Genomic DNA, 14,842 nt, shown 5'->3' with positions numbered 1-14,842 from the left:
CTAATATTTGACAATACTACCATCCAGTTTCTTGGGTGTAGGCCATATCTTCCTGTTTAACCTCTACTTTGATGTGCACCCTGTGATACTTTGAGTATAGAAAGCCACCAACAAATGAATATTTATTATTAACATCTTTACAAGTAGGTCAGTTACAGCCTTTTTCATCTCTGTCACCATGCCCTTGTCTCTTTCTCCACCTCATCTGCTACAAGGAATTCCCAAACATGTAGAAAATACAGTTTTATGAGTAATTCTAGGGCTAAAGAAAGGGATGATTTCATGATAGGAATGAAAAAAGTATTTAAGAAACAGCCATGGGTCAAGAAGACTACCACATGACTTAAGCCTGCCTAATCAGAGCCCTGCACTCATGTGAGAACAGCAGGAGGTCCAAGGATGATCATGAGATGCAGTTCAGGCCAATGAGAAATGAAACTTTTCCTTGAGATTGCTGGGAAAACACTCTTGTTTTCCCCCATGAGATGTGAAACCAGAAGTTTACAAGGGCTGGAGTTTGTACAGAGTAAAATATACACACACACACAAAAAGATCTGGTTGCTGGTGACATTGGTTTGCCTGAAATAAGCTATACTTGAAGCCAGGTATCCCTCAAGACTGTTTGGCTACATAAGACAACAAATTTCCTTTTTAAATATGAGCTATTTAAAATTAGGGTTTCTGTCAATTGTAATCAAAATAATCCTGAGAGATCTGTGACTTCAAAAGAGCACTTGAATTTAGCTAAATTTTAAAGAGTGTAAGGCCTATAAAGGAAGAAGAAAATTCTAGGCAAAGAGAGTAACAAGACTAACACATGAAGGCCTGAAACAACAGCGTGTTCAGTGAACTGCAAATAGAGGATGATTCTTGTCTTCAATGTAAAAGAAAAAAGACTGATCAGTCTCTGAGTACATTTACTTCCTGAGAGCTAGAATTCCCCATAGCTTCCACCATGTACCTTGCCCATAGTGGACTCAGCAAATGTTAAATTAATAAGCAAGTGAAGTCATGGAAATGTGAAAGGAAATACAGAAACGCCCAGAGGAAGGAGAAATCCTCAGCGGGGAGAGGGGAGGAAAACTACTTAATTTCCTCTCTCACTTCATTAGATAAATGGTGAGAAAGGCTGGCTTTGAAAACTAACTACTGGCTACTGTACAAATATTAGTGTCATAAAGCATGCAAATTAAAATGCTGCTGCAGAGAGATAAAATTTCATCAGCTATCCAGTGTTTATTCTGAGACTAATAATGATTCGAGCACAAAGAATGATAATTAATTGGTACCACTGATCCTGTCACACACCTATTCCTCACGTGGCCAGGAGCCCTGCTAGGATGACAGTGTTCCAGAAAGACAGGCATGTGGCTGCCTGGAGACCACCATCACTTGGAGACCACCATTATCAGTAGGAGACCTAGGCATGTGGCACTTGGCTGATGAATTGCTGTTCTCTCCACCCAGGGTATTCTTCCTCTCTTCACCACATTTACTCATATCTTCCTCAAGGTCTTCAGCTTAAACATCATTTCTTCAGTGAAGTCTTCTCTGATAAGATTGAGTCTTATATGCTCTCATAGTTACTTGGATTTCCCTTTATTTAAACTAACCCTAGTTGTAATATTTTTTAAAATCTAGATATGAAGTGGATGAATTTTGGCTTTCCTTCTAGACTACAACCTCTTTGAGGATGGGGACTGTAGCATGCCTAATTCTCGTTCTGGTATCCCTCTCATTATTGCCTGGCACAGAGCTGCACAAAAGGCAGGTGCTCGGAGTTTGTTGAATGAACAGTATTGACTTCCTTGTAAACTGCATTGACTTCCTTGTAAACTGCATTGACTTCCTTGTAAATTTCCTCTCTCTCTCCATCTCATCCTTCTGGCTCATCTTATTCTCTTGCTTTTTCCTAGGCTTGAAATTATTCCTAGGTTTGAAATAATAGAAGATAGAGTTCTGGGGAAAGCAAAAAGAATAAGGCTTGCCTACTGAAAAAAGAAGACAAATTTATAAAAATAGATAAATGAAGAAAGTAATTTCAAAGAGTGACGTAGGCTGTGAGGAAAATCAGACTGATGAGATGGAAAGGGATGAGGGGGCTACTTCAGAAAGTATGGGCAGAGAAAGCCTCAACAAGGAGGTGACTTCTGATGAGGAAAACTCCGCACCAATGAAGAGACCGGGGGAGGTGTGATTCAAGCACGCTTTATCATTTACCCCTGTGCCTTACGGGACAGACAACTAAAAACCAGGAAAGAACACACTGCTCACTAAGTGGCAGGGCCCCTACATTCTACCCTGGTTCTGGATTTGACCCAAATACTAAGCCTCTTGGGTTCTCAGTTTTCTCATCTGTGAAATGAAATAATACTGTATTGCATAAAAAGTAGAGGATTTCTTTGACAACTCTTCTGGTTTTAAAATTGATGTGTTTATGAAAAAGTCTGCCCTATCTGGGTGTTTTGGGAAGTGCAGGTATTTTCATCCCATTTCACCCAGAGTCTTTAAGATTTAGCCCCAATTTTCCTGTTAAATTTCCTTTTTGGTCATTCTTCCATTTCCCTCAATACATCCTATGCATCAAACATGAGTATCCATTGTTCCCTATACATACTTTTGGCTTCCCTACATTTATTGCATTTGCTTTCTGAATAGAATGCTCTTTCTGTCATGTCTGGAAATCTAAGTCCTCCCCAACCTAGAGACCAAGCAACACTTTTGCCACCTTATCATGAAGTCTTCCTAGATGCTAATAGTAAATGTCTCACTTTCTAGACTTGCTTTGATACTTGTGTCTTTGTTCTGGCACCGTCACCATGTCCACCCCAAGGAAAAGTTATCTGTGCCCAAATTTTCCCTTCTGGTTGACTCTAAGCCCCTTAAAATCAACTGCTGCCCCCCGCTACTGCCTTATATGTAATAGGCACTACATCACACTATAGAAATGGAGGTGTTCATTAAAAGACTTTTTGGCAAAGAGCATATTAACAAGTGCTGGCGAGTGGATTTCTTCTTGAGTGGCAGCTATGATTGACCTCAAAGAGTTGCATTCAATTAGCAACGCCTTCCCTGGATGTGGGAGCAGAGTACAGCAGTAAACATGCCTTGAATTCACCATACCTGGTTTAGGTTATGGAGGTTTGCCCAGATGACAGACAGGAAACAAACAGATTATCTAGGATCTTGAGTAGGAGGCAGAGTCTACTCTGCCTAGTACCTGGATAAGGAGCAACCTCCTAAGAATATTAGTTTCTTTGGATTTTTGCATGCCAAGCAGAGTTCCCTCTTCATAGTTTTAACCTCCCACCAAGATATTGGTTATATTGTTGATTGTCACAGTCATCAGCTAGCCCTTGTAAGTATTATTCCTTTCAAATTAACATATTTTGAGGACTCTCTGTGCAGGACACTGTGAGATCTCCTGAGGATAATGGTGCAATGTTCTTTCAAACTGCCATTTCGGATCATGCCTGTGCCTATGATGGCAATTGTACTATTGTACTGGGAATTTATCAAAGAGTAGTCTTAAAAGTAGGCAAATTGGGTGGTGGTTATACAAAAAAAAAAAAAAAATCCCCTCTGTCAGTTGTGACTCATTCCTGAAAATTCAGCCAGTGAAGGTTGACTTGCACTTTTGCCTTCTCATATAAAGAGATGCCCTCAAGTTGAAATAATAACAATGTCAGCATATGCGCAGCACCCTGTCCTTTACAAAACCCCTTGATTTCCATTATTTCATTTATTCTCATAATCAACACACTATAAGACAGAACACACATGGAGTCTAATCGTGTTCTGGAGAGGGGAACTGATGTCCAATCATTCACTCAAAATGACTCTCCAAGGAAGTATCAAGCTGGAATTAGAGCCCAGGTCTTCTCTCTATTTCTGGTGATATTTCCTTCTATATGAAATGGCGTCAACATTTATCTCACTTTAGGGAGTTGTCCTCACTTTAGGGAGTTGCTTAGATCAATTCTGTTAATTATCTTTTTTTATAAGGGGTATTGAGGGCCTTAGAGAAGTGGGGGAAGGTGATAGGAAAGAAAGGGACACTAAAGAGGATAAGAGGAACACAGGGAAAAAAAATTGCGTATAAGTGTTGTTGCCAGCCGAAGGTGCCATTTAACAGCATCTCATAATTGATAGGATAGGAGCTGTGCTGTAGTTTCCTTCAAACATACCAACAGTCTATTGTTTGATGTGGAATTCATTTATTTCCCTCTAGAAACACCCCTGCCTCCTCCATGGTAATGGATTTTTAAATTTTTGTTTTGAAATAATCATTGATTACCTACTGTTTACCCCAGTGGTAACTGAGTAATCTTGTGAAACTATAATACTTTATCACAACCTGGATATTGACATTGATACAGTCAAGATACAGAACATTACCATTATCTAAAGGATTATTTTGCCCTTTTGTAACCTGTTTCCTAATTGCTTCCCATCTCCTACCTTTTCCTTACCCCCTGAATACTAATAATCTGTGCTCCATTTCAATAATTTTGTCATAAGAATGTAATACAAATTGAACCATATATTATGCAACCTTTTAGGACTTTTTCAGTCAGAAAAAAAGAATCTCTAAAAATTCATCTAGGTTGTCACGTGAATCAGTAGATCAATGTCTCTTTTGATTGATTTATTTTAGCTTGGTAGCACTCCACAGGATGGATATACCACAGTTTGGATAACCACTTACCTCTTGAAAGGCATCTGGTTTGTTTCCAGTTTGAGATAATTATGATAAAGCTACTGTAAACATTTTTGTACATATTTTTATGTGAAAATGCATTTTAACTTCTCTGGGATAATGTCCAGGACTGCATTGCTGGATTATATGGCAGTTATATGTTTCGTCTTTTAAGAAACTGGCACACTATTTTCTTGGTGGCTGTACCCTTTTATGTTCCATTAGTAAAGTGAAAAAGTGGTGAAGTTTTCCCAGATTCTCACAAGCATTTGGTAGTTTCACTATATTTTTTATTTTAGTCATCCTCCTAGGTCTGTAGTGACATCTCATTGTGGTTTTATTTTGCCTTTCTCTCGTGGCTAATGATATTGAACAGTTTTCTCACATGTTTATTTGTCATCTGTTTTTATTCTCTTCCATGAAATGTCTATTCCTGATTTTTGTGCATTTTCTAGTTTAATTGTTTGACTTTTTAGTGCTACAGTTCAAGAGTTCTTTACTTGTTATAGGTACTAGTCATTTGCCAGATGTGGGTTTTGTAAATGTTTTCTCCCATTCTGTAGCTTGTTTTTTCATCTCTTAACAGTCATTCACAAAGCAAAGATGTTAATATTAATGAAGTTCAGTTCCTCGATTTTTCCTTTTATGAATGATGCTTTTGGTGTCAAATCTAAAAACTCTTTGCCTAGCCATAGATCCTGAAGATTTTGTTTTTCCTTCTAAAAGTTTTATAGCTTTATTTTTATGTTTAAGTCTGTTATCAATTTTGAGTTCATTATTATAATGTGCGAGGTTTAGATTACGATAGTGTTTTTCTTTTTTTCCTAGGCTATGGATGTCCAATTTTTCCTTTACCATTTGTTAAAAAGGCTCTTTTACCTCCACCAAATTGTATCTGTACTTTTGTCAAAAATTGGGCATATTCATGTGCATCTTCTTCTGAATTATCCATTCATATTGATGTATATATCTGTATCTCCACCAATACTATACAGTCTTAACTTCTGAAGTTATATATTAAATCTTTAGATCAAATAAACTGATCGTTTCTACTTTTTCTTCTCAAAATGCTACTATCCATTCGAGTTCCTTTGCATTTTCATATATGTTTTTGTTTAAAGTTGTGTATATCTATAAAAACCCTTACTGGGGTTTTGATAGGAATTACATTAAACCTCTATTTCAATTTACCTAGAATTGACATCTTTTCTATATTGAGTCTTCTAATGCATTAATTCTGTATGTTTCTCTGTTTAGGTATATTTTGACTTCTTTCATTAGTGATTTTAGTTTTCAGCATACAAGTCCTATACATGTTTTGTTAGATTTACATCTAAGTATTTTATTTTTTTTCTTTTGAGCTTTTATACATCATTTTATTTTTAATTTTGATATCATATGCCCATTGCTGAGATATAGATATTCAGTTAATTTTTGTATGTTTATGCTGTATCTTATGATCTTGCTGAACCAACTTTTGTGTTCTAGGTGTTTTCTTTTTTTTTTTTTTTTTTTGTGGATTCTTGGAATTTTTTTTATATTTTGCCTTTTATTTTAAAAATTTAGGGCATCTTTTTTTATTATTATTATACTTTAGAATGTTTGTAGTAGTCTTCTGATCTCCAAATGTGGTTTTATTTTTTCCTTTCTGAACTGTATGCCCTTTATTTTCTTTGCTTGCCTATCACACTGGCCAGAAATTCCAGCACTGTGCTAAATTAGAGTGGTGAGAGCAGATATCTTTGTCTTGTACCCCAATCTCGGAGGAAAAGCATTCAGTGTTTTACCACTAAGTTTAATGTTAGCTGTGGTATATGTGTGTGTGTGGGTGTGTGGGTGTGTGTGTGTGTAGATGCTCTTTATCAAGTTGAGGAAATTTCCTTCTATTCCTACATTTCGGAGAGTTTCTCTAACTGTCAATGGGTCCTGCATAAATTGCTATGTTATCTTGTTTTATTTTGAGACGGAGTCTTACTGTCATCCAGGCTGGAGTGCAGTGCCATGATCTCGGCTCACTGCAATCTTTGCCTCCTGGGTTCAAACAATCCTCCAACCTCAGCCTCCCAAGTAGCTGAGATTACAGGTATGTGCCACCATGCCTGGCTAATTTTTTGTATTTTTAGTAGAGATGGGGTTTCACCATGTTGTCCAGGCTGGTCTCGAACTCCTGACCTCAAGTGACCCACCTGCCTCGGCCTCTTAAAGTGCTGAGATTATAGGCGTGAGCCACCGTGCCCAGCCTATGTTATCTATTTTCATCTCTAACCTAGATCTATGTTGGATTATATTGGCATATCTTTGAATATCGAACCAGACTTGTATCTAAGAAATAAATTCCACTTGGTCATGATTTATAATTATTTCCATATGTTGCCAAATTATTTATTATTTTTTTTTGAGAGGGGGGGTCTCACTTGATCACCCAGGTTGGTGTGCAGTGGTGTGATCACAAATCACTGCAACCTCTGCCTCCCAGGTTCAAGCAATCCTCTTACCTCAGCCTCTTGAGTAGCTGTGACCACAGGCGCACGCCACCATGCCCAGCTAATTTTTTGTATTTTTGGTAGAGACAGGGTTTCATCACGTTGCCCAGGCTGCTCTCAAACTCCTAAGCTCAAGTGATCCACCCAACTTGGCCTCCCAAATGCTGGGATTAGAGGCGTGAGCCACCGGCCTGGCCTATTGCTAAACTCGTTTGCTAATATTTGGTTAAGGATTTTTGTGTCCATGTCATGATGGGTATTGGTCTATAGTTTTCTTTTTTGTACTTTCTCTGATTTAGTATCAGCGATCAGAGGGATCCTCGCTTTATAAAAGAATTGGAAAGTATTTCCTCCTCCTCCTCTTCTTTGCTCTAGAAGGGATTGTGTGGAATTGGTGTTATTTCTTTTTAATCATTTGGTTAAATCCTTCAGCAAAACCATCTGGGGCTGGAGATTCCTTTATGGGGAGTTTCTAAATTGTGAATTTAATTTCCTTAATAGTTATTGGGCTATTCAAATTCTCTGTTTTACATTGAATGTGTTGTGATAGCTTCAAGGAATTGATCTATTTCATCTAAGTTGTCAAATGTGTAAGTGTAGAATTGTTCATAGTAGCCCCTTATTCTCCTTTTTATGTTTACAGTCTCTGTAATGACATCTCCTGTGACATTCCTGATACACCACCTGGAAGGAGAGAAGGTATGGAGGGAGAGAAGGTGTGCCTCCTTACTGGGTTTGGGTGAAAGTCCAGGTTCCCCCATATGATTTACTCTGATACTGATAGGGATTGGAGCTTGTTACTGCCCAGCAGGGATAAAAGTTTCAGTTTCTCACTTGGCCTTCTCAGACAGCACCCTGGTGGGTTGGGGGAGGCTGGCACTTCTTGTTACAACATGGAAGTGAGGAGTCAGAGTGGCTGCAGGAGTGCCATTATTGGCTAAACATTTTCTGGTTTTGCCTGAACACTGCTTTGACTGGAGAAAGTCTTTTGATGTTGCTTAGCTTGTTTGTGCCTTTTGGTATTTCCAGTTAGCTGGCTTCACCAGCACTTAGTCTGAGTTGTCTGATGCAAAATAAAAGAAAACCCAGGAAACTCATAGCCATGTCATCATTCAGGGCACAGTTCCCTATCCAGTCTGCCACCTTCTGCCCAGTTTTCAGAGTCGTCTTCCGTCTGTCTTATAATGTTCAGCGTTTTTATTTGTGCTTAACAGGAGAAGTAGGGATAGGTGTTATCTATTTTGTTTTCTCCGAAGCTTTCCGCTTTACTTTAATAACAGACATGTGCCTAGAAGCATGCCTGATGTCCGAATAGTTTTTATTTAAAGACATTTTAATCCACATATAAAACCGTAGGATTTAGAAAAATAAACAAAGGACCATAAAAGATAAAGAAGATTGAGCTTTCAAGGAGTGGCAAGTAATCTGATATAGCTCTGATATAATGGGTGCATGGTAGGGCCTAAAGAGAAGGGGCTGGAGATAAGGACTGAGCAGTCTGAATTTCTTCTGTGCTAACGGGAAGCCATTGAAGGCTATTGTGCAGACCGGAGCATGGCTTGAGGGAATTTTTAAGGTCGCCCTCCTGTAACATGCCCTCTGAGATGACCAGAGCTTGAGCTAGTGACATACGTAGGTATTGAAACAGTTAACGTGAGAATTATAATATAGTTGAACATGGTCAAAATTGAGGTTTCCCCAGACTGATTTGTGTACTGAATCAAAAGGGCCTACAATGATTTATACAAAAGCTAGTTAACACCATCCAGCTGTTTACTACGCATACCTGTAATCTGTACTGTTATTTCATAATGATAAATTATGCAATTAGACTTCCATCACTATACATATAAACATGACAGAAAAACTGATTACGGTTTTGTATTCCCTTGGTGCATTAATAGAATCAATTATGCTGTATTTTCAATATGACAAACTGCTGGAGAGATTGTGCATGATTTTTTCCCTCATTTTTTGTACTGTTAATTTGCCAAGTAATTATCTCTTCAGGCAAGACTTGAGGTTACTGAGAAAAATCATTTGGGAAAACTGGAGACCGGGGTGAGAAGTCCTTTTGAGGGTCCATCTTCACTCTGCTGTCTTGTAGATCGTGTCTTCTCCGTCCTCACCTGCGGGCTTTGAGCAAGCATGTAAGATCATTTTGCTTTGGAGAATAGACCACGGGTAGAGAGAGAAAAAAAAAAAAACCTGAGAAATGAGATTTTTCTCCTAAATTTTAAACATATTATTATAACTATTTAATTTTTACAATGGAACTATTTCTAAGTGAAATCTCATTTGCACCTCAATGTATTAAAGAGCTAGACCAGGAGGTGCTCTGGCTGAAGTAAGAATTGTGCCAGGATTTCCCTGCCTGCCTTCAGGAGCCATTCTGTTAAGGTAACCCCAGAGAAAAATCTGCAAAAATAATAGGCCTGGTTTGAAACATTGCAGTTCTGCCTGAGTTGGTTACATTCTTTGATGTTTACAGCTGAGAAAATCCATTTATTCATTTATTCCACAAATAATTATCGGGTACCAACACTGCCAAGCACTGTGCTGGGAACTGAGACTCTAACACTAAACAAGATAGAGGGTAAGAGATTCACAAAGACTATTGACTCCTAGTCTTTGGACCCCTCTCTAGAGAGCATGCTCTTCTGTGGTACCCATAATGCACATATTGGGTTTCTTTGCCTCCTCAGTGTTTGCCTTTCTCCTCCCCTACTCAGGTGGACAGTGACCTCATGCTCTCTCTAATAAGTTCCCCAAATAACAAGTATCTATCTAAAATAGCTATCAACTATGTTCCTTCTAAGAATAATTAATTGTCCCACAATACTGTTGAAAGTAGGAAGGGGCTTTTAGGAAACCAGGAGTTGAGTAATGTTTTTTAAAACTGGTTGTGTTTTGTTTGTTTGTTTGTTTGCCAACTGTAATGGCATGCGTATCCTTTCTGAGCCCAAAAACTGGTTGGTGAAAAGTTTCTGCTACTTGTAGCCTTATTTCAGATGTCGTTTTCCTTTGTAGAGAGACGTACTTCTCTAATCCACAAACTCCATCTCTTGTCTCATTTATTTAATTTAAGGAAGCAATAGAAGTTGGATTTCCAGATTTAGCAAATTAAAACATGGAACACCCAGTTAATTTGAATTATAGGTCAATAACAAATACTTTTAAGTATTAATATATCCTAAATAATATATGGCACATTTTTATACTAAAAAATTATTAAATTACTATTTTTAGTATAAACATGACATTAAATATTGCATAGATCATATCCATTTTAAAATATTAATCATTTATCTGAAATTCAGACTTAACTGTCGTATTTTGGTAATGCTAAGTAGAACATAGTGATTACAATTACTAGCTAAGTAGTAAGTCAGACTGGAGTTCTGTCAATTTCTAACTTGCCAAGTTACTTATAAACCTCAATTTTCACATCTTTAAAATAGAGATTGACAAGACAACCTATTTTCTGTATTTGTTGAAAGTATTACATGCATGAATGCTTTTAGAGTGCCCTGCAACTGCATTTTTTTTCACAGTAAGCTTTTAATTGATGGTGGCTGTTTTTCTTCTTTTGAACTCCAGAAAACATCAGTGTGTGTGTGTGTGTGTGTGTGTGTGTGTGTGTGTGTGTTCTGTCCCACCGAAACATTCTGCTGTAAGCGAAAAGAGGAAAAATGGATGCATCGCTCACGGTATTTCAGGATTGTTGAGGCAGAAAAACAGAGCTATGGAAATGCAAGCTGTTATTATACAGTTAGGTTTCATGGCCTGTTGGAAAAAAATCTGGGCTTAATTCAAGAGTTATTTGCATTGCTCATAGGATAGCACAGATATATTTTCAGTCTGTCAAGCTCATTTTCAAGCACTATGGGTTCCGCATAGTTTAAATGAATTTTGCCAGCCATGTTCCCGTACTGAGAAATCCAAGGCATATGTTCCTGATTCATTTCCACTGAACCAATCAAATTGTTCTTTTCTTTCTTTTTTTTCCGAAACTCATAGATATTTGCAATGTGTCAGGAGATATTTTATTTCGCTGTTCTAGAATTAGTTGTTATTAACAAAGATACTAGTGATTATGAACTTATGTGTATACCTGCCTCTCTTACACCACCTTTTTATCTATAGTATAATCACTGCTCAAGTAGGATGTGGAATTGTATATTGGCAGCCTCTGAGCCAGAATATTTCCATATGAAAAAATCGAATGGATATTAACAGCATCAGTCTTTTAAACAAATTAGAATTTCAAGGAGCATTGATAAGCAAGTTTACACCTAAAACTGCTATGAGTAATATCCAACAAGTTCAGCCTCTTAATAGCGAACACTGGTTAATATAGCTAAGACAGCTGGCATTTTTGGTATTTATTTTTATGCCTACAGTAAAAAGATAAAATTCATTCTAGGGATCAGAGTGCTAAGGACCACCCCATTTTCCCCTTTGCCTGATTATGGATTTTAAATAACCACAAACATCAAAAAGAAATAGAATTTCATTTGTACCAATATAGTAGAGTTAAACCATGGTATAAAAGCTGCTAAAGAATGACTCTAACAAATGCTATGAAAATATATTGGAGGCCGGGCGTGGTGGCTCACGCCTGTAATCCCAGCACTTTGGGAGGCCGAGGCGGGCGGATCACGAGGTCAGGAGATCGAGACCATCCCGGCTAAAACGGTGAAACCCCGTCTCTACTAAAAATACAAAAAATTAGCCGGGCGTAGTGGCGGGCGCCTGTAGTCCCAGCTACTCGGGAGGCTGAGGCAGGAGAATGGCGTGAACCCGGGAGGCGGAGCTTGCAGTGAGCCGAGATCCCGCCACTGCACTCCAGCCTGGGCGACAGAGCGAGACTCCGTCTCAAAAAAAAAAAAAAAAAAAAAAAAAAAAAAAAAAAAGAAAATATATTTGAATAGCTTGATAATGACCAGAGAGACCATTATAAGAATTGCTATTGATTTTTCAAAAAAATTTAATAACAATGCACTAAATAGAATTTTTTATGTAATTCACCTGAATGAATATTGCCAAAATATGATATAAAGTTGATTTTAACAATCCAAACTTTTGGATAGACCATTTCAGCTACACATTTAATCTCAACAGTTTTCTATATGTATATACATATATATATATGTAAAAATTTTGTAATCTGTATTCACAAATTAAGTGACAAAAGTTAAGCATTTTTGGTTGAGTGCTAGAGTACTGTCCATTCATGAGTAAATAGTCATTCTGTGGATGGCAAGGACTCAAATGATGAGGTTACAGGATTGATGCCATACCTAATTTACTTTAGGGATGTGGTGGCAGGACACTCAGGAGAAGGCTTGAAGGGGTAGGCTATGTTTTTTAATAACCAGTCTTTTCTTCCTTAAGCCCTCAAGAGTTGCTATTTGTCACTTTGCTTGAGTGATCAATCTAATTTTTATTTTAATTATTTACACACATTTCATATCTATCTACTAGACTGTGAGCTGATGGAGGGAAAAGTCTCTCCACAGGATCTGATTTTAACTTTGTTTCCTTTGTATCCCCTGTATGGTGTCTTTACCATGTTATCAGTAAATATTATCTTTAACCCATGTTTAAGGATGGGGAATTATCTATGGACATATATAAAAAGGAGACATGGCTAGTTATGTGCAATCAGTTTATAGTCAGGCCTGACAGGCTCACCTGCAGCTGGAGCTAATAAATCTATTAAGATTTTTAATACAGGCAACTTTGCAGGCTGCAAAAGTCATCAGACACACTAAGCAAATCTTTAATCAACTCATCATCTAGTAGAAAGAGCATAGGGTTTGGAAATGGAAGACTTGAGTATTTGTCTCATTTCCATCATGTACTATGAAGAGTGCATTTGTGAGGAGTTAAGGAAATTTCTTCAACTTTTAAAATTTGCCCCCTTTGTGAATGGCAGCACTCACTCACCCTGTTTTCCCTTAGAGTTTTTGTGATGATACAAATGAGATTAGGTACTCCTCAGCATCTGTCCTGTACAGAAATTCTCACAAATGGGCAAAGATACGTTGATAGGAAAGTTTACCTTAACACTATTTGTAGCAGTAAAAAGTTAGAGTCAGGCTAAGTGTTCATTAATTGAAAAACGGTTAAACACTAGTCCATCCTTAAGATTAAATACTATGCAACTGTTAACGATGCAGATCTACATATTAATAAAATCCCCATGATATATTTTGAGTGGAAAGAATTGAAAATCTGTCATACCTATCATTTCATTTTTAATTAAAAAAATAGAAATAAAGGGTATGTGGGCAGATGAATTGTTAGATTGAAAGCTGTACGACACCATGAAATATGGTTGGCTTCGAAGAGGAGAAGTAATAAAATTGGTAAGACGGAGAATAGTAAATATATATTGAGTTCTTAATATGTGTCAGGCACTATTCTAAATGCTTTATATTCATTAACTAACTTGATTGGCATCACAACTTTGTTATGAGGGTACTATTTTTATTTCCACTTTACAGATGGAAAAACTGAGGGACAGAGGTGAAATAGTAAGTCTGAGGTCAGAACAGAAAATGATCTACAAGATGAAAACAGGACTTAAATCCATGTAGTTTGACCAGAAATTCTGCCCTCAGGCACTACATCAACCTGGGGGTGATACCGAAATGTACTTCAGGGATATTTTCTTTCAGTGTCGTATGTTTCCCCATGGTCAGAATATCTTCACCAAACACGTATTACTTTACGACTCTAATACAATGCATTTGCAAAAGGAGATCATACACATAAAAGCATTTTGTTTTATAGCCTGTCATTTGCTGTACTTATATTAAATGCTAAAGCACTGGGAGATGCTCTTTATATTTTAAAAAAATACAAAATTGTTTCATACATCAACATCTGTTTACTCAGTCTTTGCTAGGGTAAGGGAAGTTGAAAATAAGACAGTCACATCTCCAGCATTTACTTAAATTTTCTCCATAATGTGACTCGTGATTGCTTTGCAGATGGGGTCTGATTATCAAATTGTGCATCTTCCTAAACCCACTCATATCAATAGCAAGCACGTCAGACAATAACTAGTGAGTGGTGTCAGCGCCTCATCGTCAGAGATACTGCCGACAAGAAGCATTTGGGCCAAGAATAAGAATTACAAGTGTGTACATTTCTAGCTTTGCAATCAACATGGAAATTAGTCAGCTTATAGCTGCTGAGTGGTCTTATAGAGAGGGCTCCAGCTGCAGATGAAATGCCAAAGCGAGGATGATAAACAGAGCAGAGGCATTCATCATTCCTTTTCAGCTGTTTGCAGCCTGAGAGCCTTGGCAGTGGGGTGGGGTTGGCAGGAGTTATTGAATTATTTCCAGAGCTGGAGGGTATCTTCAAGGCCTTATTTTCCTACCGTGAGGAACCTGAGGTTCAGAAAGGGACAGATGGGAGGTTATAAAGCAAGGTAAAGGAGGAGTGAGGTGTCATGTGAGCCCAGCATAGGGCTGCAGCCCTTGGCATTTTTTGTGTCATTGAATTCACAGATTTATTCATTCATTCATGCAAAAAATGTATTTATTTGGGCATTTACTTATTCAAATAACTAGTGAACATTGAATAGTCTAATCTTCTCACTGCAGCCAGAGTAATCTTTTTAAAATGGAAACTTGATCATAT

At 37.6% G+C, this 14,842-nt stretch overlaps 1 long non-coding RNA gene across 1 annotated transcript in view; it reads left to right on the top strand.

The window, feature by feature from the left end:
• The window catches only part of LINC01470 (long intergenic non-protein coding RNA 1470), a 353,385-nt gene that overhangs the window by 144,223 nt on the left and 194,320 nt on the right, over nucleotides 1-14,842 (top strand). The window contains exon 3 of the long non-coding RNA NR_109877.1: nucleotides 7,827-7,882. This is a non-coding gene — a long non-coding RNA (long intergenic non-protein coding RNA 1470). The remainder of the gene's footprint in view (nucleotides 1-7,826; nucleotides 7,883-14,842) is intronic.

The sequence above is a fragment of the Homo sapiens genome, chromosome 5, assembly GCF_000001405.40.
Source record: "Homo sapiens chromosome 5, GRCh38.p14 Primary Assembly".
Classification (NCBI taxonomy): Eukaryota; Metazoa; Chordata; class Mammalia; order Primates; family Hominidae; genus Homo; species Homo sapiens.
This window is presented reverse-complemented; position numbering and strand designations above follow the sequence as displayed.